The following is a 24,884-nucleotide window of genomic DNA, read 5'->3' on the forward strand; positions in this document are numbered from 1 at the left end:
CCATACGGTTTTCTATAATGGCTATACTAATTTATATTCCCACCAACAGTGTAAAAAGGTTCCATCTTCTCAACATTGTTATTAGTCTTACCAGAGACGGCTGCAATGTTAGTCCATCGGGAATCATCTCCTTCCCATGCACTGTCTCTTTCAGAGATTAATTTGTTTTTATATTTAGTATTTTATGTTAGACTTTACCTGTTGCAGAATGCATGGGTGTATGTGTGTACATGTGTGCAAGCTGTCTCTTTGCCTGGCTATCAGCGTGAGCCACAGCTTCTTTTCACATCTTTTCACATCTGAAATTTACATTGAAATACAGACATCAGTCAAAATTGCTCTCTTCCAAAGACAATACAATCTTAATTAACAGAAAGTGTATTATGCTTAAAATATAACAAAGCAGAACATGGAAATCAAACAAGTTAGCTCAGGGTACTACAAAAGCATGTTAAATAATGAAAGGAATACCACATTAGAAGGCAAGAGCCCTAGATTCTGTATTGTTTGATGTTGGACAAGTAGATGCATCTCTTTAAGCCTAATGTTCTAATCTAGATCATCTTGATTGTCCCTTTCAACTCTAATAAAATAACATAATCTTAGCTCTATCAATTTCCACATATTTTCCTTGGGGAAGAATCAAGTTTCAAATTCAATCACTTCAAGGTAATTTTCTACTATTTATAAAGAAAGTAAAAATTGAACCAGGTCATATGCAACTTGATGTTTTTGTATGTAAATCCCTTATTTTCTGTAAAAATTCTATAAGGAGAATAGCTGAATCCTATTTTATATTTTATATAAAAAGGTCTGTTTTCTAAAATTACTTGTTTAAAAACTCAAATTTATTAAAAAACACAGACTACTCTGTGTATGTAACTTTTATTGTAATGTTAACCTTTATTATGTTTATGAATGCAAGCTATGGATTCATAGCTCTCACAGCTAGAGGGTCTTCATAAATAAAGCAACCCACTCAGATCTGCATGTTTCAGATAGCAAGGCAATAAGCAAACCAACAGATGGATGCATTTTTAACTAGTCAGCCCATTGCTATCTTTTGGTAAGAAAATTCTCTTGCAGGTTGTAACAAAATCTTTCACTGGGTGGAAAAAGAAGTACAATCTCAGAATCACATGTTTTCTAAGAGAATTATATATTTCAGTACTTTGATAACCTATTCAGATTTTGTATAGTGATAAATTAAACTAAATGATTGGTGTAAAAACAAATCAAGCAAAATAATTTAAGGTTATTGTAAATTTGAGAGACGAATAAAATTGCCGTCAGTATCTAGTTTCTTTTTTGTTTTAACTGAGTTGAGTAAGCCAGTATGATCCAATTCAATTCAAGGCTGTTTTTGAAATATTGTGAGAAAAGAATCTACAATATTATGCTTCAATTTTTAATTTGTATTATACTGACAAATAAGTTCGGAAAAAGATGCTCTTTGCTTTGGAAAAACTGCTATAAAAGTGAGAAGATAATATTTATCAAAAGAAGCCAGATGCAAAACTGTGAAAGGTTTTCAGAGATTATATTGGGTAGTTCCCAATATTAAATGAATATCTTTTCCTAAAAAGAAAAAAAATAGGCTATCAGATTATCTCTTCATATGCACAGAGAAAAGGGAATGGATAAATAAAGTAATTATTTTGATAATCCAGGCACTTAAAACTTTTCTCTGAAATATCCACATGATTGATATGATAATTTTGACTGAATTAGTCAAATTGCTCTTTCACAGTTTGCCTTCTCATTACAGGAGTAGATACAATCTAAGTGTGGCTGTAACATTTATAAATGCAGAACACTAAACGCATAGCTTACAGTACCTTTCAAGATTCAACCGATTATATACAATCACTTACCTTATGGCAACATAGGTAGTCACAATTTATCATCCTCTTCTTCAAAAGCACATACTTAGGACTTTTCCTCTGGAACCCTGTAGCAGTGCCATAGAAAACATTTCAATGTATGACACTCGACCATTCTGACCACTCAGTTATTGCCAACTACTGTGGCATATACATATATGAAATATAGGTAGCAGAGCAAACCCTGAGCAAATAATTAAATGAATAATGTTTTCCACGATAATTAGTCCATTTTATAAAATGTGTTAATATCAAAATAGTATATACTTCTGCAGAAGCTACAAAAATGCCATCAGTCCTAAATTGAAAGTTTAATGGGATGTTTCTATCGCAAATCTGATAACAATTTGCTAAAATTTTTATTTAATACGACTACATTTTTATTTTTTTTAAGTTGGAAATACAGACTAGAGGGGAGAAACAGTTATACAAAGGCTCCAAATGATCTATTAATATCAGTAAACTCACTGTAAGAAACTGAAAGTGCCTCCTGGAATCTATTTTCATCACCTTGATGAAAATTATGTATATAAAACTAGATTTACCTTTTGTCTTCAGAAAATGGAGGAGGAACAGATTTGTTGATTATGGCTAGAAAGATGAGAAAGATGCTTTAATGTTAATATTAAATGAGAGAAGGCAGAAGACCTATATAACTTAATTTTTCTTCTTTTTCACTGAGATGAAGAGATGGACTTTCTAACTGATAAGAAACAGGAAGGAGGCCGGGCGCAGTGGCTCATGCCTGTAATCCCAGCACTTTGGGAGGCTGAGGCGGACAGATCACAAGTTCGGGAGATTGAGGCCAGCCTGGCCAACATGGTGAAACCCCGTCTATACTAAAAATACAAAAATTAGCCGGGCGTGGTGATGGGTGCCTGTAATCCCAGCTACTCAGGAGGCTGAGGCAAGATAATCACTTGAACCTGGGAGGTGGAGGTTGCAGTGAGCTGAGATCGTGCTACTGCACTCCAGCCTGGGCAATAGAGCGAAACTCTGTCTCAAAAAAAAAAAAAAAGGAAACAGGAAGGAAAAAAGATCGAAAACTTAAGCAGTCAATAATCGGGTAGTGTGTTAGATGCCAGGCTATGGTGTTGACTAAAGCAGAAAAAATTTCTCCAGGATGAAAGGAAAAAAATGAAAATAAAGAGAAATCTTAAATGATTATAAATCTCTGAGTACAATCCAACTCTCTCTCGAGAAAATAAGGCAACTTACATGTGCAATTGTGGAATCATGATTGATCGTCTTTAAAACACATTGAGAATGAAAAAGATATGAAAAAACTGGCCAGTGACAAACGGCATCTTGGTATTTGAAGACTGAAAAGGCTAGGCTATAGAAACTACAAACTAGTAAGATTAATGATTATCTCTGGGAAAATGTCCTGACAATCCTAACAGATTATTAAACAGACAGCTTGGCAACATGTAGAGAAGGAAAAGGTAATTATTAGACATCAGAATTTTTTTTTTTTTTAAATTTTGAGATGGAGTCTCACTCTGTCGCCCAGGCTGGAATGCAGTGGCACGATCTCAGCTCACTGCAACCTCCACCTCCCCGGTTCAAGTGATTCTCCTGCCTCAGCCTCCGGAGCAGCTGGGATTACAAGCATGCACTACCACGCCAGGCTAATTTTTGTATTTTTAGTAGAGATGGGTTTTCACAATGTTGGCCAGGCTGGTCTCAAACTCCTGACTTCAAGTTATCTGCCCACCTTGGCCTCCCAAAGTGCCAGAATTACAGGCGTGAGCCACGGCGCCCGTCCAGGCATCAGAATTGTCACACTAAATTCAACTCGTACCTTGGTACAAAAAAACAAAAAATTGGCCCCCATAGTAGGCCAATAAAGAGTTGTTAACTGCTATTATTTTCTGGTGGAATAAGTTGATCAGATAACATCATCATCTATCTTGATTTTAGAAAGAGTTGACAAAATCTCTCATATCTTAATGGGCAAGATGGTTCTGTCTAGTTCAACACACTTATCAGTGACTAAGAGGACATCAAAAGCATGTTTATCATATCTTTGGTACACAACTGAGAAGAATAGCTAATTCACTGAGCAAGAACCAGACTTCAAATTCTCTTCATGCACTGGAAGAGTAGAATAAAGCCCCAAAGTGAAATTTTACTAAGATAAACATAAAGTCCTGGGTTTATATTTTTAGAAGGTCAATTATATAAGTCGATGATAAAGAAGCTGTGACTTTATATCAGTTGATGTGAGAAAAGATCTGTTAAGTTTAGTGGATGAAAAGCTCAACATGTTTCAACAACAGGATAGAGAAGATGATAAATCAAATGCAGTTTTAGGTTCACTAAACCAAACCCTAGTGTCCAGATGGAGAGAGGGGATGGTCCACGGTAGCTCCACAACTGTAGCTGGGGCTCCACTTCCGGAGTCCACATTTTTACAGAGACATTGACAAATGACAAAAATCTGGGGGAGGGCCACAAGAATGGTTGAGCCTCGAGGCCATGTCTTATGAGAAACTGTTGAGGGGAGTGGGTAATATTTAACAGAGAGAAGCAAAGCTTGGCAGACCATGACGGCAGTCCCCCAGTGAAGGGAGAGTTGTCATCTGGAAGAGGAGCACCCTCACTCAATTTTGTTCCAAGGGCAGAACTAAAAGCAGCAGATAGCTTTTAAAAAAATTTTGTTTATTTATTCATTTTTTGAGACAGGGTCTCACTCTCTGGTCCAAGGTGGTCTTGAACTCCTGGGCTCAAGTGATACTCTTGCTTCCAGAGTAGCTGAGACTACAGGCATGCGCCACTACACCCAGCCAGCAGGTAACTTTATAAAAACAGCAGATTTCTTGTCAATATAAGGAAAAACTGTCTTAGAATTTGAGTTTTTCTGTATCTGCTGTTCTGTTAAGTAGTGGCCCCCAGCTCCGGTTAACCATCTATTAGCACCGTTGTACGAGGGAATTCCTGTGTTGATAGGAAAATTGAATTTCGTAACCTCTAAGAGTCTTTATGAAATGATGGCTGAAATAAGCAAATTGCAAGGCAATCTGGAAAGAATGAGCTGTGGAGGCTCTGCAGAGGATGACAGCTATTGAAAATGTCTATGTGGATTAAGATGGGAGTACTGATCATAGGAGAGATTGGCAAGAGGAATTAATGATCTAGGACAGTGCTGTCTGTAAGAATATAATGTGTAACATATACGTAAGCCACATTTGTAAGCTTAAACATTTTAGCACCCATATTTAAAAAGTAAAAAGAACCAGGAGAAATTAACTTTAATAATATATTTTATTTTACCCCATATATCCAAAATATTCCCATTTTAACATAGACTTAAGATTAATGAAGTTATCAAGGAGATATTTTACATTTTTTATATTAAGTATTTGAGGACCTTTGTTTATATTACACTTACAGGACATCTGAATTCACACTAATCTTATTTTGAGTGCTCAGTAACCACATATGGTAAGTGGCTACCATATTGGACAGCAAAGATGAGGGAAAAAAGTCTCTGAGCATGGCTAGTTAAAATAAAAGGGATTATTAGCAAAATCAAGGTGAACTGTACAGGTTACCAAGAAATTCTGGAGACACGGCCAAAATAAAGAGGGTAACTGCGGAATGTTTTCATTTTGGCAGCCGCAAGAGTGATAAGAGCCAGGAATACAGGTGGAGTTTGACCAAACTGAGCAGAGAATCCAATTGAGGCTGAACTGCACCTGCCCCACTCCTGGTTGCTCTGGCAACCAGACTCCCTCCCCATGCTAATGACATTATAATGAGAACATCCACATGCAAATGAATTAAGCAGTAATTACAGGCAGATCCTCACTTGTTCTACTAGCTCAGCTTAAGAGGGTGGTGGTTGAGAGAGGAGTTGGGGAGAGTTTGATACTGCACAGGGGAGACTGGGAAAGGAAAGAATTTGAGTTACAAAATAAAACGGTTATCTGGAACCTATATAACAGGCAATAAAGTCATGTGGTTACATATTCACATTGTTACTTCCGTGGTTTTTCTTGCTGTTACCATTACTCATGGGAGAGAGACCACCCAGGCGGAAAAGGGGAAAGAACAGAGAAACAACAGTAACTCTATAGGAAAGGCACAGATTTTGGGAGAAATGTCATCTTCCTCCCCTCCTTGGTCCTCCCATTTCAAAAGAAATTACTTATGGTTTGCTCTACCTTCCAACCCATCCATGCGGAGCTACAGTGAAAACATCGAAACTCTGGAAAAAGATAAAAAGTAGAAAGAAAGCTTGTCTTTAATTCTTGGTTCTGATTTTTTCTTAATTGCTTTTTGTAGTTTTCCCCAAGTTGATCAGAGCCACGTTGTAATTAATGAAGAATAAGTTGAATACTGAACTTCAGAAACTTGATAACCCTGGCCACATGGAGACCTTTACTGATGTGGGAATAGTGTGTATACTGAAGTTTTGCATCTTATAGGAATTTTTAGGTTTCCAGAATCATGCTAGGTCTCTCATTAAATATATATGTGTGTGTGTGTGTGTGTGTGTGTGTGTGTGTATATATATAATGCTTACGTAAAGAAAGAATGGTTAATGATATGCTCAGAAAATATTCAGATCAAACTATTAGACATGCATTGGGGGTACATCACTTTGGCTAGCATACCAATAGACATGATAACATTATTTACACTACACATCAATATATGGCCTTTACTTTCCATCGTTCAAGGTGTTGAAGTGGGCCAGGCGCAATGGCTTAAGCCTGTAATCCCAGCACTTTGGGAGGCTGAGGCGGGTGGACCACCTAAGGTCAGGAGTTCAGGACCAGCCTGGCCTACGTGGTGAAACCCCGTCTCTACTAAAAATGCACACACACACAAAAATAGTTGGTCATGGTGGCAGGTGCCTATAATCCCAGCTACTCAGGAGGTTGAGGCAGGAGAATTGTTTGAACAGGGGAGGCGGAGGTTGCATTGAGCCGAGATCACGCCATTACATTCTAGCCTGGGCAACAAGAGTGAAACTCTGCCTCAAAAAAAAAAAAAAAAAAAAAAAAGATGTTGACGCGACGCGAGGACGTGGTGGGACCTCTGGTGCAAAATTCCGAATGTCCTTGAGTTTCCCGGTAGGAGCTGCGGTCAACTGTGCTGACAACACCGGAGCCAAAAGCCTGTATATCATCTCCACGAAGGGGATCAAGGGACGGCTGAACAGACTTCCCGCTGCTGATGTGGGTGACATGGTGATGACCACAGTCAAGAAAGGCAAACCAGAGCTCAGAAAAAGGGTACCTTCAGCAGTGGTCATTTCACAACAGAAGTCATACTGGAGAAAAGGTGGCATGTTTCCTTATTTTGAAGATAATGCAGGGGTCATAGCAAACAATAAAGGTGAGATGAAAGGTTCTGCCATTACAGGACCAGTAGCAAAGAAGCGTGTAGACTTGTGATCCCAGATTGTGTCCAATGCTAGAAGCATTGCATGATTCTCCAGGATTATTTTTTTGTTAAAAATAAAAATAAAAAACTTTAAGCCAATTAAAAAGTATTTGTTCCCAAAACAAAACAAAAAACCCCCCAAAAATATGGCCTTTAAATATGCATTCATAAAGGAAATGATAATCGCCTAATTACCTAGTGCTTACTATATTCCAGGGACTATTGTAAGTTGCACAGCAACCCTGTGAGATAAGCATTATTGTCAGCCCATTTTACAGATAGGGAAACAAGGCAACTTGCCCAGGTTCCTAAGTGGCAGATCCAAGAACTGAATCCAGTTAGCTTAGCTCCAGAATCCACAGATGTGTATCATAAGATATCAAGGATAGATCCTTCAAAAAGATAAACCAATCTTTGTTAACGTTTCACTAATCAACTATTTTGCTATCTAGTAGAACTACTAATACAGTATTGTAAAATTATTTATTATGACTATTACATTTAGAATAAAAAATGGAACAAGTAGGCCAGTTTGCCTGGAATGGAAGGTTCACTTAGGACATAAGAGGAAGGTGTTGATAAGTGCCCAATTGTCAAGGAATACTGAATAAGAAAGGCTCCAGAAGGATGCCACTGAAAGTTTTTGATGTGAGGAAAACAGTATTTGAGGAAATGTAATTTAACAGTAGAGTGCAAATATAGCAGGGAAAAGAGATGAGTTATTGGGATCAGTTAAACTACATTTTTTACCCAAGCGCATGAATGTAATAATGGTAGTAGTATGGATGAAAATAATTAACAAACAGAAACTTTCAAGGCAAAAACCCAAATGAAACTCTGGATATTGGCTAAAGTGAGATAATTGAGGAATTAGGATTAAATCTCAGACTTTCTGCCAAAGTTTATTTCTTTCTTTCATTTTCCTTTTTTTTTTCCTGAGATGCAGTCTTGCTCTGTCACCCAAGCTGGAGTGGTGTAGTGGCACGATCTCAGCTCACTGCAACCTCTGCCTTGGGTTCAAGTGATTCTCCTGTCTCAGCCTCCTGAGTAGCTGGGATTCCATGTGGGTGCCACCACATCTGGCTAATTTTTTTTTGTATTTTTCAGCAGAGAGGGGGTTTCACTATGTTGACCAGGCTGGTCTCGAACTCCTGACCTCAAGTGATCCACCTATCTCAGCCTCCCAAAGTGCTGGGATTACAGGTGTAAGCCAATGCACCCAGGCAAGATAAGGGGAGGTTTCAGTGGCAAATGGATTCAGACACGATTTCAGTGTGGACATCTATGACTCTTGGGGCCAGATTATTCTTTGTTGTGGGCACTTCCCTGTGCATTGCAGGGTGCTTAGCAACACTCTTGGCCTCTACTCACTAGAAGCCAGTAGCACCCTTCCCAGTGCAACAGTGTCTCCAGACATTGCCACATGTGTGCTGGGATGGGGGTGGGCTGTGGAGGGAAAGCAATAAAATCACCCTTGATTGAGAAACACTGGTTTAGGGAATTAGAGTGTGAGTTTAGTAGAGGAGTTTGAGGCACTAGGTGGGACAAACAGGTGAGAGCATCAGGAGGCCTGGGAAAGGCAAAACTGAAATTCCAGAGATTAGAGAGAGAGAGAGAGAGAGAGACAGAGACAGAGACCAGAGCTGAATAGGAAGATTTGAAGGTTTTGTATTATCTCACAAAGGAGCAATAGTGGATAAGATATCTGAAGTGGGGATTTAGAACAACACCAACAAAAAAAGCGTAGAACTCTGGAATAAACAAACTCAAAGGAAGAGAAACTACCCATGAAGGAAACATAGGCAGTGTCCTGAGGTGAGAAGAAGCCAAGGCTTGGCAATGAGATCAATCCCAAAGGTGAGAGCCGTGCAAAGGAGGGAAACCTTCAGTTCTCCAGGAGTGACAGAGAAGTCATTTGGACAGACACTGTTGGTTAGGGCCAGGCGCAGTGGCTCATGCCTGTAATCCCAGCACTTTGGGAAGCCAAGGCAGGTAGGTCACTTGAGGTCAAGAGTTCAAGAATAGCCTGGCCAAAATGGTGAAACTCTGCTTCTACCAAAAATATGAAAATTACTTGGGCTTGGTGGTACATGCCTGTAATCCCAGCTACCTGGGGGTGTGAGGCATGAGAATCGCTTGAACCAGGGAGCAGAGGTTGCAGTGAGTCAAGATTGAGCCACTGCACTCCAGCCTGGGCAACAGAGCGAGACCCCGTCTCAAAACAAAAACAAAAACAAACAAACAACAACAACAAAACCAAAACTGTTGGTTAGGATGATGAACAGGTCCCCAGGAAAGACAAATTACATTGAGGTCTCTGTGGGTGGTGGTAGGGTGATGGTGTTGAACTAGATTTCAAAAATGTAAAGAGTGAGTGGAAGGTGAAGAAGAGAGGGTGGCTGGATTATTCTTTGGGGGCTGTTTGGCACCGACAATTAGAAAATGGCAAGGTCAATTAAACAGGAAGAATTTGCCTTTTTAAGATATAGAATGATACGGGGAGTTTTATGAAAAGCAGGCAGGGAGAAATCTCTGAGAAACCAGGGTCTTAAAGAAAGTTCAAAGGCCCTGTCTTTTTGTTTTTGTTTTTTTGAGACAGGGTCTCACTCTGTCACCCAGGCTGGAGTGCAGTGGCACCATCTTGGCTCACTGCAACCTCTGCCTCCTAGGCTCAAGCGATCTTCCGGCCTCAGCCTCCCTAGTAGCTGGGACTACAGGCACATGCCACCATGCCTGGTTAATTTTTGTATTTTTTGTAGAGATGGGTTTTCACCATGCTGCCAGGCTGGTCTTGAACTCCTGAGTTCAAACAGTCTACCTGCCTCAGCCTCCCAAAGTGCTGGGATGACAGGCATGATCCACAGCGCCAGGCTAAAGGCCCTGGTTTGATCTTCAAACAAGAAGGCAAACTTTTGGGATGAACATAGTGCTGTAAGCATCTCTTCTTAGAAATCTCAAGAGCAAAACATGGAACAGAAAATAAAGATGCCAATTTACTTCTTCATGAAACAGGAAAGCCAACTTAAAAAAAAACTTTGGGCAGGGCACGGTGGCTCACGCCTGTAATCTCAGCACTTTGGGAGGCCAAGGCGGTTGGATCACGTAGGTCGGGAATTCGAGACTAGCCTGGCCAACATGGTGAAACTCTGTCTCTACTAAAAATACAAAATTAGCTGGGCGTGGTGGTGCATGCCTGTAATCCCAGCTACTCGGGAGGCTAAGGTAGGAGAATCACTTGGACCTGGGAGGCAGAAGTTGAGGTGAACTGAGATCACGCCATTGCACTCCAGCCTGGGCAACAAGAGCAAAACTCCGTCTCAACAAACAAAACAAAACAAAAAACTTTGTAAGAGAAGGGGGTCATGATATGCCTTTAGTACTTTTTGATGTTTGACTCCTATAAATATGTATTACTTTTTGCAAAACAATTAGTAAATTTTGTCCAAAGAAAGGCAAAATCTGGAAAATAAAATATCACGCTGTTTTGGTCTTCTCTCAAAAAGAGAATTCCAGAATTACATAGTGCACAATTTTTAAAACGCATCACTCATGGGTGTGGGACTGTGTAACACTGGCTGTTTGCCAATTGCCTGAGTCAGTTGTTAGGATGTCGAAGCCAGAGGACTGTAATAGTCTTAAGTAAGTGCAGCTGAGGGGGAATATCTTAGACAATTTGTATGAAAAGTGTATTTTAATACACTAAAAGTCTATGGAATCATCTACTTTTAAAAGTTTGTTTGATGTATAATCTTGAGTCCCTTAGAGGCAAGACTTTTCAACAACTAAAATCTTTCGTTTTTGAATTTACTTTCCATTTTTATCAACATGTCCATCTGTCTATGCATTTAGGGTTTACTAGAATCAGAGATAATTACCAGGTACAAAAATTTCAGATTGTTAATTTATTCTACATTTTATTATAAAATTTTATTTTTAAAATTTGTGTTCTAAAATTACACATATTCACTGCAACTTTTATTCTAAAAGTTTTATATGCTACTCTCTTGATCACAGAGAGTAGCATATATCCTGCTTTTTTTTTGGTTTGTTTTTGAGATGGAGTTTCACTCTTGTTGCCCAGGCTGGAGGGCAATGGCACTATCTCAGCTCACTGCAACCTCCACCTCCCAGGTTCAAGCGGTTCTCCTGCCTCAGCCTCCTGAGTAGCTGGGATTACAGGCATGCACTACCACGCCAGGCTAATTTTTTGTTTTTAGTAGAGATGGGGTTTCTCCATGTTGGTCAGGCTGGTCTCAAATTCCCGACCTCAGGTGGTCTGCCCACCTTGACTTCCCACAGTGTTGAAATTACAGATGTGGGCCATCATGCCTGGCTATATACTGTTTGAAAAGTTTCAGTGAATGTGTGTAATTTTAGAAAAAAGTATAAATTTATTCTAAAGTATTCTAAAATATTTTAAAATTATTTTATTCTAAAATTACACACATTCACTGAAACTTTTAAAACAGTATATATGCTACTCTCTGTAATCAAGAAAATCTCCCCTTTCATTATTGTAGTTGTTACCATAAGCAAATTTAATACAGGCATAAATAATACATCCATGTTGGCAAACGAACTTCATATAAAATTCAGAAAATCTAAGTATTGAATACAATATGCTGAACTTGGTTTCATTTAATTGATTTTATAGGCCTTTATTTTGTGAGTCATGGAATAATACCTTGAGGATTTCAGAAATTTTAATGATAAAGCTTTATTGTGGTTTATCTAAACCTCCTTTCATGTTCCCTTTTCAGTTGCTCTATGGAAAAGTACTTATTGAAAAGGATTCACTGAAAAAGATTATTTGTGAAATGCATACTAAAATATTTCATGAAAAGCATTTAATTTGAATGAAATATTTTACATTATTACTGACATTATAAGATCACAGATCTTTATCTTTTCAGAAAAGAGCATGTGCATTCCACATATATTCAAACATTCATACGTAGCTTTTGAGTGCCATGCATTGTGTTATGTGCTAGGAATGCTGTAAGGTCCAAAGCACTTAACACAATGTTGTAAGGACCAGAGCGACAAAGTCTCTGTCCTCTTAGAGGTAAATTTAGTGAGAGAGGGACGAAAACACAAATGAACAAATCACATAATGTAATAAATAAGATGAGTGGTTTCTGTTACAGGAATAGGGTGTCAGACAAGGCCACTTGGATGAGGTGGTATATCATATACATCACATGCCCTGTGGTGTACCCTTGGTGTTTATATATGTAATATATACATTGCATTGCCATGTATATTTTTATCCTGAGTTCAAACAAAACTTGGCTCTTCAAAATTAGAATGTCAGTTTCTAAGTGCCCTATTAAAAAGGAACAGATATTCAAAACACAAATTAAGGCCAGGTGCAGTGGCTCATGCCTATAATCCCAGCACTTTGAGAAGCCGAGGCCGGTAGATCACGAGGTCAGGAGTTCAAGAGCAGCCTTGCTAGCATGGTGAAACCCCATCTCTACTGAAAATACAACAATTAGCCGGACATGGTGGCACACACCTGTAATCCCAGCTACTCAGGAGGCTGAGGTAGGAGAATCGCTTGACCCCAGGAGGTGGAGGTTACAGTGAGCCAAGATCACGCCACTGCACTCCTGCCTGGGTGACAGAGCGAGACTCTGTCTCAAACAAGAACAACAACAAAACCCCACAAATTAATTTGTTTTAACATAATTTCTTGCCTGCATTTAATCTAGTTATTTAAATCATAGTTTAATTCTAACATGTAAACTTTGTTTATTGGAAACACACATTCAATAAATTCTTATTGTCCTTAGGTTACATTTTTTGTTTGACTTACAGTTTAAGAACCAGGTTCAGATATACTATAATTACTGTGTCTTAAATAACTCCAAATTTGTTCTTAATAATCACTAACAATCATATGCTTGACTTTGTTTTTGTTCTCTTTCACCACCCACACTTTGGTCCACAATTTATATATACAAACTAAATGTAAACTTTCCATCAAAAAGAGGAAGAACCTGTTATATCCATCATGACATCTCTCTACCATTTGTATACATAGTAAATATGAAATATTTTTATTGCATCCATGTCCCAAATAAATGTTGTTTTAAATGCAATATGATGTTAAAATTGTAGCAACGTATACAACTCAAACAAGAGAATATATTCAGGAACGGATATAATAACTTGACCAAAATATAGTTTAACTCTTTTTATGTGTATGATTAAGATTCATAAAATGCTAGAAAAAACAATAATAATAAGATGTAAAAAGTAATTAATATGGACAAGTTCAAAGGACATCAGTGTAGACATTAACACTATACCTAGGTAAGACGGGTTTTCCCTGATCATCTTGAAGTGCCAGCTTCAGGATATGGCTGGCATTTTTCTAGGGTTGTTTCTAAACACAACAATTTATTCATTTAGCAAGAGTTCCAATTATTTTACACTCAATGAAGTTACTGCTCTGGAGAAGTGTCTTTTATTTGCAGATTTTATAGATTTCTATGCGTTAGTAACCAATACCCCTAGATGCACCTGCAAATGGTTTCTTTATACTGTGGTTATAAACAAGACTGGATCATGAAATGTTGGCACAATTTTTAGGATATTAACTTGAAAAATCATTCTGAACTTGCATAGGAATTTCAGGCTCCTGATATCCTCAATTCGAGTGATAAAATCTAACTGCTTGGCCTGATCATTTTTAGTATGGTCCAGGCCAGCAATTTCCAAACCTTGGTTTTCTCACTCTGTAAGTTGTCTTCAGTTTTCTTACATGGCCTTGAAAATATTTTTAAAAATAAGAACCAATCGACTAAACAAAAATATACTGATCAGTCATTAAGCAACTAGTATGTGTTTAGTATTGTATTAGGGCCAAAGGGGAACCACTGCCCATGGTACCTGCATTTGGAGATTGTCATTTTGTTGAGAAGATGAGATAGAGACAAATAGTATGCAGAGGTTAAAGCAGGAGAATAGAATCCAAATTTAACTATAACACATCCTACCATCACACATTAAATGGGTGAGTGCCTGTGTATGTGTGTGTATATGTGCCATGGGGTTCTCTGAAATCAAAGGAACAACACTTGGGTATAAGTTACAGGTTGTTAATGCATAGTGATGTAAAAACATAGCTTGTATTTTTGTTCTTGCTCTGCTCTTAACCCAATCTGTATCCCATTTTTTTGAGAAAATTACTTAAAAGGGAGGCTTCTAAGGAAAACTGAAAGGAAGTGGATGGACGGCTTGGCCCATTCTCTGCGTCTCTCAGCAGCTGCCCACATGAGAGCGTCCAAGTAACCATCGCCTTTGCCGGGCTGCATTGTTCTGACCCTCTCGGACCAGTGTAGTTGTGCTAACTCAATTTATGAGATGCAGCAACATCTGGTGGCACTGGCATCCTGGTTCAGCGCCGATTGTCAATCCGTGTCACCAGATGAATGTGTACTAAGTGCCTGTTGGGGTGTGTGATAATAAAGCCTGCATTAGCAAATGTTGGGGGCAGGGTCAGGCGGGGGCATTCTCGAGCCCCCCATGCAGTGCAGCGGAGTGGGCAACAAAGGGGAGGTGGCAGGATGCACAGAAGTGCTGATGCAGAAGGCCTGACACGCCGCAGGTGGTACGTGACATGTCGTGGCTTCTGGCTGTTGTTGGGTGTGATGATTGTCACAGACATGATGGATGACTTTCAGATCTTTCCCATTATATCATATCTGTAAGAAATTCCCTCTTCCTCAAATGTCTTTTTGTTTCCCCACCCCTGAGCTGCAGATGGCATCTGCCCACGCATTCCCATTGTGTGAAGCTCACAGAGAACCTCTCCATTCTTCTGGGATCCTGCTCATGGTTGAATTGCTAGCATTCAATTAAGACTTGAAATTATGGCTTTGGGCAGTTTAACCTCTTTTAACACAGTAATGGTAGCTACTCTGGACATTTAGGAATTTCCTGAGGTGTCCCCAATATATTTCATTAAGATCTGAAAAGATAGAATCAGTAAATAAGATAAAGGCAATTGTTTTCTTTTACCTGCTTCAGAATTAAATTATTTTTACGAAGAAAAAATATTCTTTTTGTGAATAAAGCCATTTGCATACATACAAGAATTCCTAACAAAATGTGAAGTGATGTTTCAGTTGCAAAATGCAGCCTGACAATATAAGAATTCCTATTAGGTGTAGAGGTTAAATATACATGAATTGATAGCCAAAGCTATAGCTTCTCCTTTATTTTCTCCCATTAGCTTAATGACATAGATTTTACATGTCTGATTTATGAAGTAAATGTTTTTTTCTTCGGAAGAGCTGCAATGATGAGTAATGTGGAAAAGAGCAGATTGGTTATACACAGCCTTTCCTGCTCCTTTCTAATGATTGTTCCAAACATTATGCTCAAAGAGAACATAAGCTGCAGTTATAGATAAGCCAGTGAATGGGCACAGGGATTTTCTTCTGAATTATAGAAAATGCAATATGCCATTCAGGTACTCCCAGTTCAACATATGCTCCATGATATTTGCAGCATGTAGGTGCTTTAAACTACTCAAATGAAACACTCCAAGCTAATGTTTAAACATTTATGGATTGAAGCAACACTAGTTATAGAGGGTAAAAGCCAGACAAATCCTTAGAAGTCTCGGATTAATTGTAAATAGTCAACCTCACACTCCAGGTTACAGAAAAATTGGGCTTAGAAGGTAGGATCAAGGCGCATACCTTGATGATTATCAACGGAATGTTGGAATTCCCAGGAAGGACTCCTTGTGTGCAGGTAAAGAATTAAAAGACTCTTGGAATTAGAAGAATGAAAAGACTCTTGGAAAACTCAGTATCAGGAGGAACACTCAGTTAACAGAGAGATAAGAAAGCAACTAAAAATAGGGGAGTTAGTGAAAAACAGAAAGGAATTAGGAAAAGCACCTGAGGAAAAGGAGAAAAGGAGTTATGGACCCAATAAACACAGGCCTCTGGGCCATTGACTGAGAAGAGCTAATGGTTTTTGAAGGTTGACTTAGGGAAATGACAACCCTAATCTACACTGAGGCATGACAAGGGAAAACAATAATATCCAACACTTATTAAGAGCTTACTATGTGCCAGACACTTTTCTAAGTGCTCTATATGTATCCAACAACTTTTCAAAGAACAGATACCCAATCCATTAATTGTTTATAATAGTGTCTGTTCAAGTCTTCTATATACATGCATTCTTTCTGGGCATTCTCAACCTAGCAAGCCACATGAATCTCTGGGTCCCATGCAGCAAACCACCATGGCACATGTATACCTATGTAACAAACCTGCACGTTCAGCACATGTATCCCAGAACTTTAAGTAAAATAAAAAAAAAAAAAATACGGATTCCTAAGACCCTCCCACAGAGGTCTTGGGCTACAGAGCCTTTTCTTTTAATAAGCCATCCAGATAATTCTTTATGCTCAGGATATTTTGGAAAACACTGACTTAAGAAAAAATAAAAGGCTTCCAAGAATTTTTGCTTTATAGATCATACTGCCACATCCAGAAGTAAGCAGAGGAAAAAAATATATATATATTAGGCAGTGTACACTCAATACATATTTTGAATGACTGCATGACAACTTTGGATTATAGAATATTATTAAAGAAACGTAGCCTAAAGTTCCAGAGTAGTTTGACAATAGATAAGAGAAATTTTCAAGTAAAAGTAGTGCTTAACTTGTCTTAATTAGAATTCTTAGAAGTAAATAACTTACAATTAGTACATTGCATGTTACTAAATTATTCATGACTTACTGCACAATAAATTTTGTCAAAGTGTGTGGACCAAGGATGGACTCTGTGGCCATGATACTGTCTGGTGCATTTCTTTCATTGGACTATAAACATCTGAAAGAGGATATTGCCTTCTAATGGGATGCCCTATGAAACCACACAGGCAAAACTCAACAGCCTCCTTCTCTGTCAGTTCCTAATCATGCAGCATTCTGACCTCAACTAGCAGAACTCTATGAGTCAAAAAGACTCCAAAAGAGGACATTCTTTTTTGGAAATTTCTACCATAGCGAGTGTCTTGTTCAAAAAAGATATTTGAGCTTTCTGAGAAAATCGCCAGTCCGCCTTTGTGTTATAGCAGAAAATAGGCTACAAAGGTGGTTGAAATTACTTCTTCTTTTTTTTTTTTGTAAAAGCCATAATCTGTGAAAATCAAATAATTACCAAAGTAAAAATGCTATCTCTAGTAAGGATGGCTTTCAAAAAGTCCTCACACAAAGGAAAATGTGGGAGTCTGGGCTGCAGAGCTGCCAAGCCCTTTCTGGGCACCAGATCCCAATTCATGATAGGAATGCAGAAGAAAAGCGGTGTGGAGAACTACCTCATCACAACAAAAGGTTTGGGCTTAGGTCCAGTCACTAAATTATGAGTCCAAAAATCAAGCTGAATATTTATAAAACTTTGAATTTTTTTAACACATGAATTAGAGGCATCATAAGCATCATTGCTATGAATGGATTATGAATATGTAGTAGACACCTAAGCAAAGTTGTGAAAACTCAAATTGTTTTCTGTTTTTTGTTCTTTTTAGACAGGGTCTCTCTCTGTCTCTCAGGCTGGAGTGCAGTGGCACAATCATGGCCCAGTGCAGTCTCGACCTCCCAGGCTCAAGCAATTCTCCCACCTCAGCCCCCCAAGTAACTGCAACTACAGGCACACACCACCACGCCTGGCTCATTTTTGTATTTTTTGTAGAGATGGGGTTTCACCATGTTGCCTAGGCTGGTCTCGAACTGGGCTCAAGTAGTCCTCCTGCTTCAGCCTCACAAAGTGCTAGGATTACAGACATGAACCACTGCGCCTGACCAAGTAAACAAAAACTTCATATCTTTGTAAAAAACTGCTTCCATGAAATGAAAGAGTGAGTGGTGGGAAAATGGAAGGGATTCTCAACTTCAACACCGCTGACATTTTGGGTACAATAATTCTTTCTTGGAGGTAGCGGCTCTGTCCTCTGTGTTGCAGGATGTTGAGCAGCGTCTCTCATTTCTACTTAGTAGGTGCCAGCAGCGCTCCCTACCCAGTTGTGTCTATCAAAAATGTCTTCAGACACTGTCACAAGTCCTGTGGTGGGGCGTGGAGGGGAGGTTCACCTCGGGTTGAGAAACAGAACCCCAGTGTTAGCATCACTTACAGGCACGCAATTCCATTTTACCAGACCTATTTTACTGGTTTGTCAAGGAAATGGTCCAAAGGTGTTACTGATCAATGTTAGTAAAACACTGTCTTTTTTTGGCTATGGAAAAGTGTCCTTTTTTTTTTTCTTATACTGACATTTCTAAACTTCCAGAAAATACAAAGCAGGCTGCTCATTGTAATGTTAACATGAACAGATGGATTAGAGAAAAGAGTGTTTCCCTTAGAAACTCTAGAAGCTGAAGGAGGTGCAATCACTTCATCCGTAGTCCACGCTTATTTTTCCAATCAATATTACAAGGATATTGCCAGTGGGAGGTGGCTTCCTTCCTCTGGACAAATGTGTTTGTCTCAAAATGCTTAGGGCTAAGGAGGCACAAGCCCCAGTGTCACTCAGGGCTTGCTTACAACATCCTGGGTTTATTTATAACATTTTCTATTCTCCTTCCACCTTATATTGTCTCTTGCAATATGTAAGATGTAGCAATAGTTTTCTTTTGCTTTCACACTGCAATGGAAATTGCTGTGGTAAGGAATCCTGTGTCCTTGAATAGTGCTTTGTTTCATGCAAGTGAAGGCTGAATTTTGCTTTCAGGTGAAGTGAGTCTAGGAAATTAGCTCATTAAACATGTAAAGATCTTGGGTCAAGATAAAAGTCAGATAAGACTCAGGACCTAAAATGATATAAAAATACCACTTTCCATAATAATACTACAATATAAGAAATAGTCTCAAGATGAATGTAAGTGCATTTGTTGGAGACATTACCCTCATAGAGATAGATTGCCCCAAATTTGTATTTTTTTTAAAAAACCCATTTGCAATGGTAATACCTGTATTCTAAGGGTAAAAATGTATGTGTATGTTAATGTAGATATTTAAGGCTAAACACCACGAGGAAGTGCATTGTTTAGGTTCCCCAAATGTTTTTTGCTTCAAAAACAAAATTCAGAAAATTTACTTTCAGAGTTGACATCTGATCAAACTTTACCTGAGTTATAAGTTTGTCTTCCCCTAGATGGCTACGTGAAATCATAGAGTATTAATTTACTATTCCTCCTCTTTCTGCAGAAATGAGCTTGCATTTCTGATCAGCACCTGTTCTCACAAGTTGTCTCTCTGTTTCTGTTTCCTGCTCACTCTCCCTCTCCTCCTTCCTGCATCCTGCTACTGTTGAGTGGGTAGAAGAGAGTTAGGTTCATTGACTTGAATGTGATGAAAGTTCTATAAGGTCAGAGGCAGAGGTACATTTTAAAAAGCCTGAATTACTTAAAATTAAGTACATGCAGTAAGGCACTATGAAAGAACAGGGTCTAAGAATCTCAAGAACTTTTTTTCCCAAGAAATCAGCAATCGTTATTTAGTGTAAAGCACTACTTAACATTCACTTCAATCAATGTCCCATCTCTAACGACTGCTTCTCTGAGTGGCATCCACCCAAGGCTCCAGTGATAAATATTTAATAAAAGAAACTCCCTCTACTTTTTTTTTTATTTCTCCCTTAAGCATTAATTACTTCATTTTAACAAGCAAAGCTGCTCTCTCAAATGCTGCCTCAACATTTCACATTCTTGAAAACTGTCTCTGTACCAGGTTGATTTATAGAGGAAGATTTTGAAAAATTAAAAATTTGGGGATGGTTTTTTGGCAGGAAAAAAACATAAAAAGGTACTTAGCCCACAAAATGGCAGCATTCTGATATGCTTCTCTCTTTTGGATGTGGTAAGCATTGCCCCATATTTGGTAATTTCAGTGGGACGGCATAGAAATTTTGCTTACTGCTAAGGGGAAAATAAAGACATTTTACTTGCTCTGTGGAGGGTTTGATTTCCCAGATACTTTTTTTCCCCTCCTTTTATTCTTTTTCTTTTTTGGGTATAATTCTCTGTGCACCGAAGACATTCTGTTCTGGTGAGCTCTGCACTTCTTATTCATGGCAATTACATTCACATCTTTGATCTTGGATGAGATCTCTTGTGCATATTTTGTTCTATTTATGTCTTTGATCTGGTTTCTTGTGATTTTCTTAAGGTTGTGTTTTTATTTGAAAGACGTTCAGCCTACAATATTTAAAAAGGAAAAAAAGGTGACATTTAGTTTATCCATATGACATTGTCTTTTTAGGCATATGGATAAATTAGACTGTCTTTATATTCCTCAGTTCCTTCTTCCAGTATACTGAGAGTTTGTTTTTAGCTGTCATAACAGTGGAAAATTCAACAATCAGATGGATTACAGCATGGTGGATCAAATTCAGCGCAATGGTTTTTAAATCGCATTATTACATTTGTCTTAAAAGAATCAAATCTGTCTTCCAATGAACTGGATAGTGATATAGTTATAAAATAGTAAGGGAGTAAGTTCATAGAGCTCCTGCTTATGGAAGGCTAAGTAGTCTAATTTTTGGTCATTCCTATTATCATTTTATTTAGTATACTTTTTTTTATTTGTCTAACATATCATTTATACTCGGGTTTCAAGAATTCACCTTAAAGGTGACCTGTATTACTAAGGGGAGATTAAATAATAACAGCTAGCGGTCGCTGTCGTGATGGCAAAGTGCTCTGAAGGAGGGGGCTGCATGGGACCTAGGAATGTACATGACAAAAATCGGTCACCATGGCAACATTTGAGCAGTTGGAGACAGGGAGCTGAACTGAGCAACACAGAACCGCAGTGGCCTGATTGAAAAGAACTGCCTATAATTTAGCTTGACTGACTTCTTATGTAACATGTTTTTTGTACTATGCAAATGACTATAGAGATGTGAGAATCCAAAACAGTCTATAAATCCAGACTGCAATCACTAACATAGACCTTTCTTTGAAGATGCAATTGGGAATTCCAGTGTGTAGCAAGCTAGAAGGTTCTCTGTCCTAATGATCTTAGACTGTGAGCATTATTTCAGGTGTTTCTGTATTAAGCCATGTCTATAAACAAGATTTTTGTATTTTAGAAGCCTATTTAGGCAACCACTACATATCATTTTGTAATAGCAAGAAAACCAAAATTAGAAGGCCTAGAAAGGTGGTAAAACTATAAGAAATTGGTAGTTGAACAGTTCCATGGTGAGCCTCATCATACAAAATATAATTCAATAAAGTTTTTCATTTCTTTTTTTTGTTTTTTTGTTTGTTTTTTTTGCTCCTTGAATTATCTGAATAATTGTCCTTAGTTTCTTTTTCAACTGGTTTGTATTACATACAGAAGGGAGCTCAAATGACTCTCTGAGCTGATAGACAAAGGCCAAGTGGCTTTTTTGTTTTATATTTGCGTAGTAGGACAGGAGGCCTCTAAGGAGAACTCGCTTCATGTGAATGAATAAGAACAACCAGAATATAACTTACTTAAAATGCCATAAGAACAACGATGCCTCAGCTAATAAATCTTCTAAACATTAAATCTCTTCCTAAGATTCAGTACTGTTGATCATGCAAGTACTTTATATATCATGTTGAATAGAATTACAATGAATCATGTAGCTTAATGGCAATATCCCTGCTAAATTATGCAGATGATAATAATAAGAAGAATAATAAAATTAGTAGTAACTATAGAAATGATTACAGCTGAAATTTACTGAGTACTATGTCTATTCCTCATTTTATCCTCACAAAATTGCTGCAAGATAGAAAAAAATCATTCTCCCTATTTGGCAGATAGAGGATCAGAGAGGCCAAGTAATTTGCCCAAGGTTGCACAGATAGTAAATTATACAGCCCTGATTAGAACCTAGAGCCATCTGGCTCCAAAGCTTTGTTTTCATAAGCATGTTTTTTTCTGGCTTTGTGTACTCAGATAACTTTTTAAATAAGACTTTTCTTCTCTACTTGTATGACCAACACTTTCGTCTGCCCAAGTCATCTCTTATCAATCCATTGCAGCCTTTTCTTGCTAAGTCTCAGCTTCCAGCCACACACAGACACTGGAAACTTACTTGAGCTAAAACTCATTAACTTGCCTCTTATAAATATGCTAATTGTAAAGTTTTCTTTCCTTATGATAATGTGTCATTGAGTCTTTCCTTCTTTTTTTTTTTTTTTTTTTTTTTTGAGACCAAGTTTCACTCTTGTTGCCCAGGCTGGAGTGCAGTGGCATGATCTTGGCTCACTGCAACCTCAGCCTCCCAGTTTCCAGCAATTCTCCTGCCTCGGCCTCCCAAGTAGCTGGGATTACAGGCACCAGCCAACAAGCCTGACTAATTTTGTATTTTTAGTAGAGACCAGCATGTTCCCCATGTTGGTAAGGCTGGTCTCAAACTCCCGAGCTCAGATGATCCACCCGCCTGGGCCTCCCAAAGTGCTGGGATTATAGACGTGAGCCACTGCACCTGGCCTACCTTTCCTTCTATTTTATTTGGCTATAATAGATTAGGAAGGAGAATTCATCTTTCTTTGAGTCTTGAATGTCCTCATTCGTGAAGCATACGTGTGTGTTGCTATCATGAAAGGATCAGGCAGCAAAAGGGAGCCACTGGCCAGGATTTACTAGAACCCAGAAGTTACTTAGGCTGGAAGAGCTACCTGGCACAATGATTCAGGAAGTTTCTCTTCTCTTTTGTGTCTGGCTTCCGTTGCTCAGCACTCCACTTTTGAGATTCATCTATATTGTTTTGTGTGGCTGTGTCGTTTCTATACAGTATTCCATTGTATGAACATTGCACAATCTATTCACCTACTCTATTACTGGTGGACATTTGGATGTTCTCAGTTAGAGTCAGTATGAATAATGCTGTTTAAAACATTCTAGTGTATGCCTTTCAGGAAATATAGGCATACATTTGTTTAGGTGTCACAACTGGTAGGGCAGACGATCTGCATATAATCAGCTCTTGGCAGTAGACAGTGCCAAAGAGTTTTCAAACATTATTATATAATTTACCTTCCCACCAGCAAAGAGTGTAGGAAAACTCCAATCACTTCACATTTGTGACAACACTTGGTGTTGTCAGTGGTTTTGATTTTAGCCATCGTGGGGGTTTTGGGGTTGTATTGTGGTCATGTGATAACGAATGAGATTGTGTACCTTTTCCTATGTTTCAGTTTCATGTAGATATTTTGTGTGTGTGAAGGGCCTTTTTAAGTATCTTGCCCATTTTTCTATTTGATCATCTGACTTTCCCTTTATTTGTAAAAAAGCGTTGATTTTAAGTGATAAATCAGTGCATTGATAAATGATATATATAGGAAATGTTTCATGCTTTTTCTTTTTTATCCTGTCCAGATTCTTATCTATTTTTTTTTATTTCACAGCACTCGAGTATTAGTTAAGAAACAATCTAGTCTGCTATAATAAGAAACTCACAATGCAATGACTTAAACAAGGAAGAAATTCATGTCATTCTCATGTAACAATCTAAGGAGCCTGGATATCTAGAAGCTCAGCTATGCTGGGACTGAGGCTCCTTCCTTCTCAATATCTGAAATTCTGAAGGCAATACTCTTGTCCTAAAGGTAGGTCATCACCATTTCTGCATTCAGACTCGGGGGTAAGAGGAAAGAAGGGAGGGGCATGCTTTTTTTGTTCATGGATATGACTTGAAAGTTGTACACTTCTGCTCACTTGCCAGTAGCTAAATCCTAGTCTTACTGCTGAGCCTCTATTAGTGAGGTTCAGGGAAACAGCAAGGGGAGCAAGGACTAGGTTGAAGAGGGAGGCTGGGAAATATGCTGTTAATTTGGTGCCCATTTTACTTAGCTAAGTCTTCTGTTACAGTGGAAGAAGGGAAGAAAAAATTGCCGATGGATTACACTCCACACCCCAATTGTCAGATTTCTACACCCTGAATTTATTTCCCCCCACCACTTATTTATTTATTTGTTTTGAGATGAGGGTCTCACTCTGTCACCCAGGCTGGTGTGCAGCGACTGTAGCCTCAAACTCCTGGGCTTAAGCAACCCTCCCACCTCAGTCTTCCAAGTAGCTGGGATTACAGGTGTGCACAGCCACGCCTGACTAAACTCTGAATTTAGAGATTAGAAAGATTTCTCAAGTAGGTACCTCCCATGTATTTCTGTTAGATTACAAAACTGGTGTCTGAAAAATATTTGAAACCCCTTCTACATAGCAATCTCCAACAGGGGTGGCATTTCAAAAGTTTCTTTTTCTCTAATGAATTAAGAGGTTGCAAAAGATTTTCACATGAAAACAAAGGCAGGCATAGTTAAATTGCCAATGAGGGTCATCTTATTTATACACCAGTGACAAGGTTTAGGGATATTGTGTTATTTTTTTAGAGCTTCTGTAACAAATATCACATACTATGTGGCCTAGACCACAGAAATTTATATTCTCACAATTCTGGAGGTGTCAGGAAGGTTGGTTTCTTCAGAGGTCTCTCTCCCTGATTTCTAAGTGGTTGCTTTCCCCCTGTAAACTTCACATGGTCTTCCCTCTTTGTGTGCCTGTGTCATATAAGAACACAAGACATATTGGA

General features: G+C 38.5%; 1 long non-coding RNA gene and 1 pseudogene across 1 annotated transcript, besides 1 other annotated feature; one reads left to right on the plus strand and one right to left on the minus strand.

Moving 5' to 3' along the window:
* Positions 1-1,874: 1,874 nt before the first annotated feature.
* On the minus strand, positions 1,875-24,884 carry LOC105373897 (uncharacterized). Its single transcript, XR_923939.2, has 3 exons — positions 24,745-24,884; positions 2,429-2,474; positions 1,875-1,951 (listed from the first exon to the last, which is right to left on the minus strand). It is a non-coding gene; the product is annotated as an uncharacterized LOC105373897 (long non-coding RNA).
* RPL23P5 (ribosomal protein L23 pseudogene 5) lies at positions 6,897-7,395 on the plus strand (annotated as a pseudogene).
* Positions 14,309-14,812: an enhancer, noted in NCBI's record as "H3K27ac-H3K4me1 hESC enhancer chr2:222464565-222465068 (GRCh37/hg19 assembly coordinates)". NCBI's record gives its function as "activates a minimal SCP1, AML or CMV promoter by ChIP-STARR-seq in primed H9 embryonic stem cells {active_cell/tissue: H9 hESC(primed)}" and the evidence as "EXISTENCE:reporter gene assay evidence [ECO:0000049][PMID:30033119]".

This window comes from Homo sapiens, chromosome 2, assembly GCF_000001405.40.
Source record: "Homo sapiens chromosome 2, GRCh38.p14 Primary Assembly".
In the NCBI taxonomy this organism is placed as follows: Eukaryota; Metazoa; Chordata; class Mammalia; order Primates; family Hominidae; genus Homo; species Homo sapiens.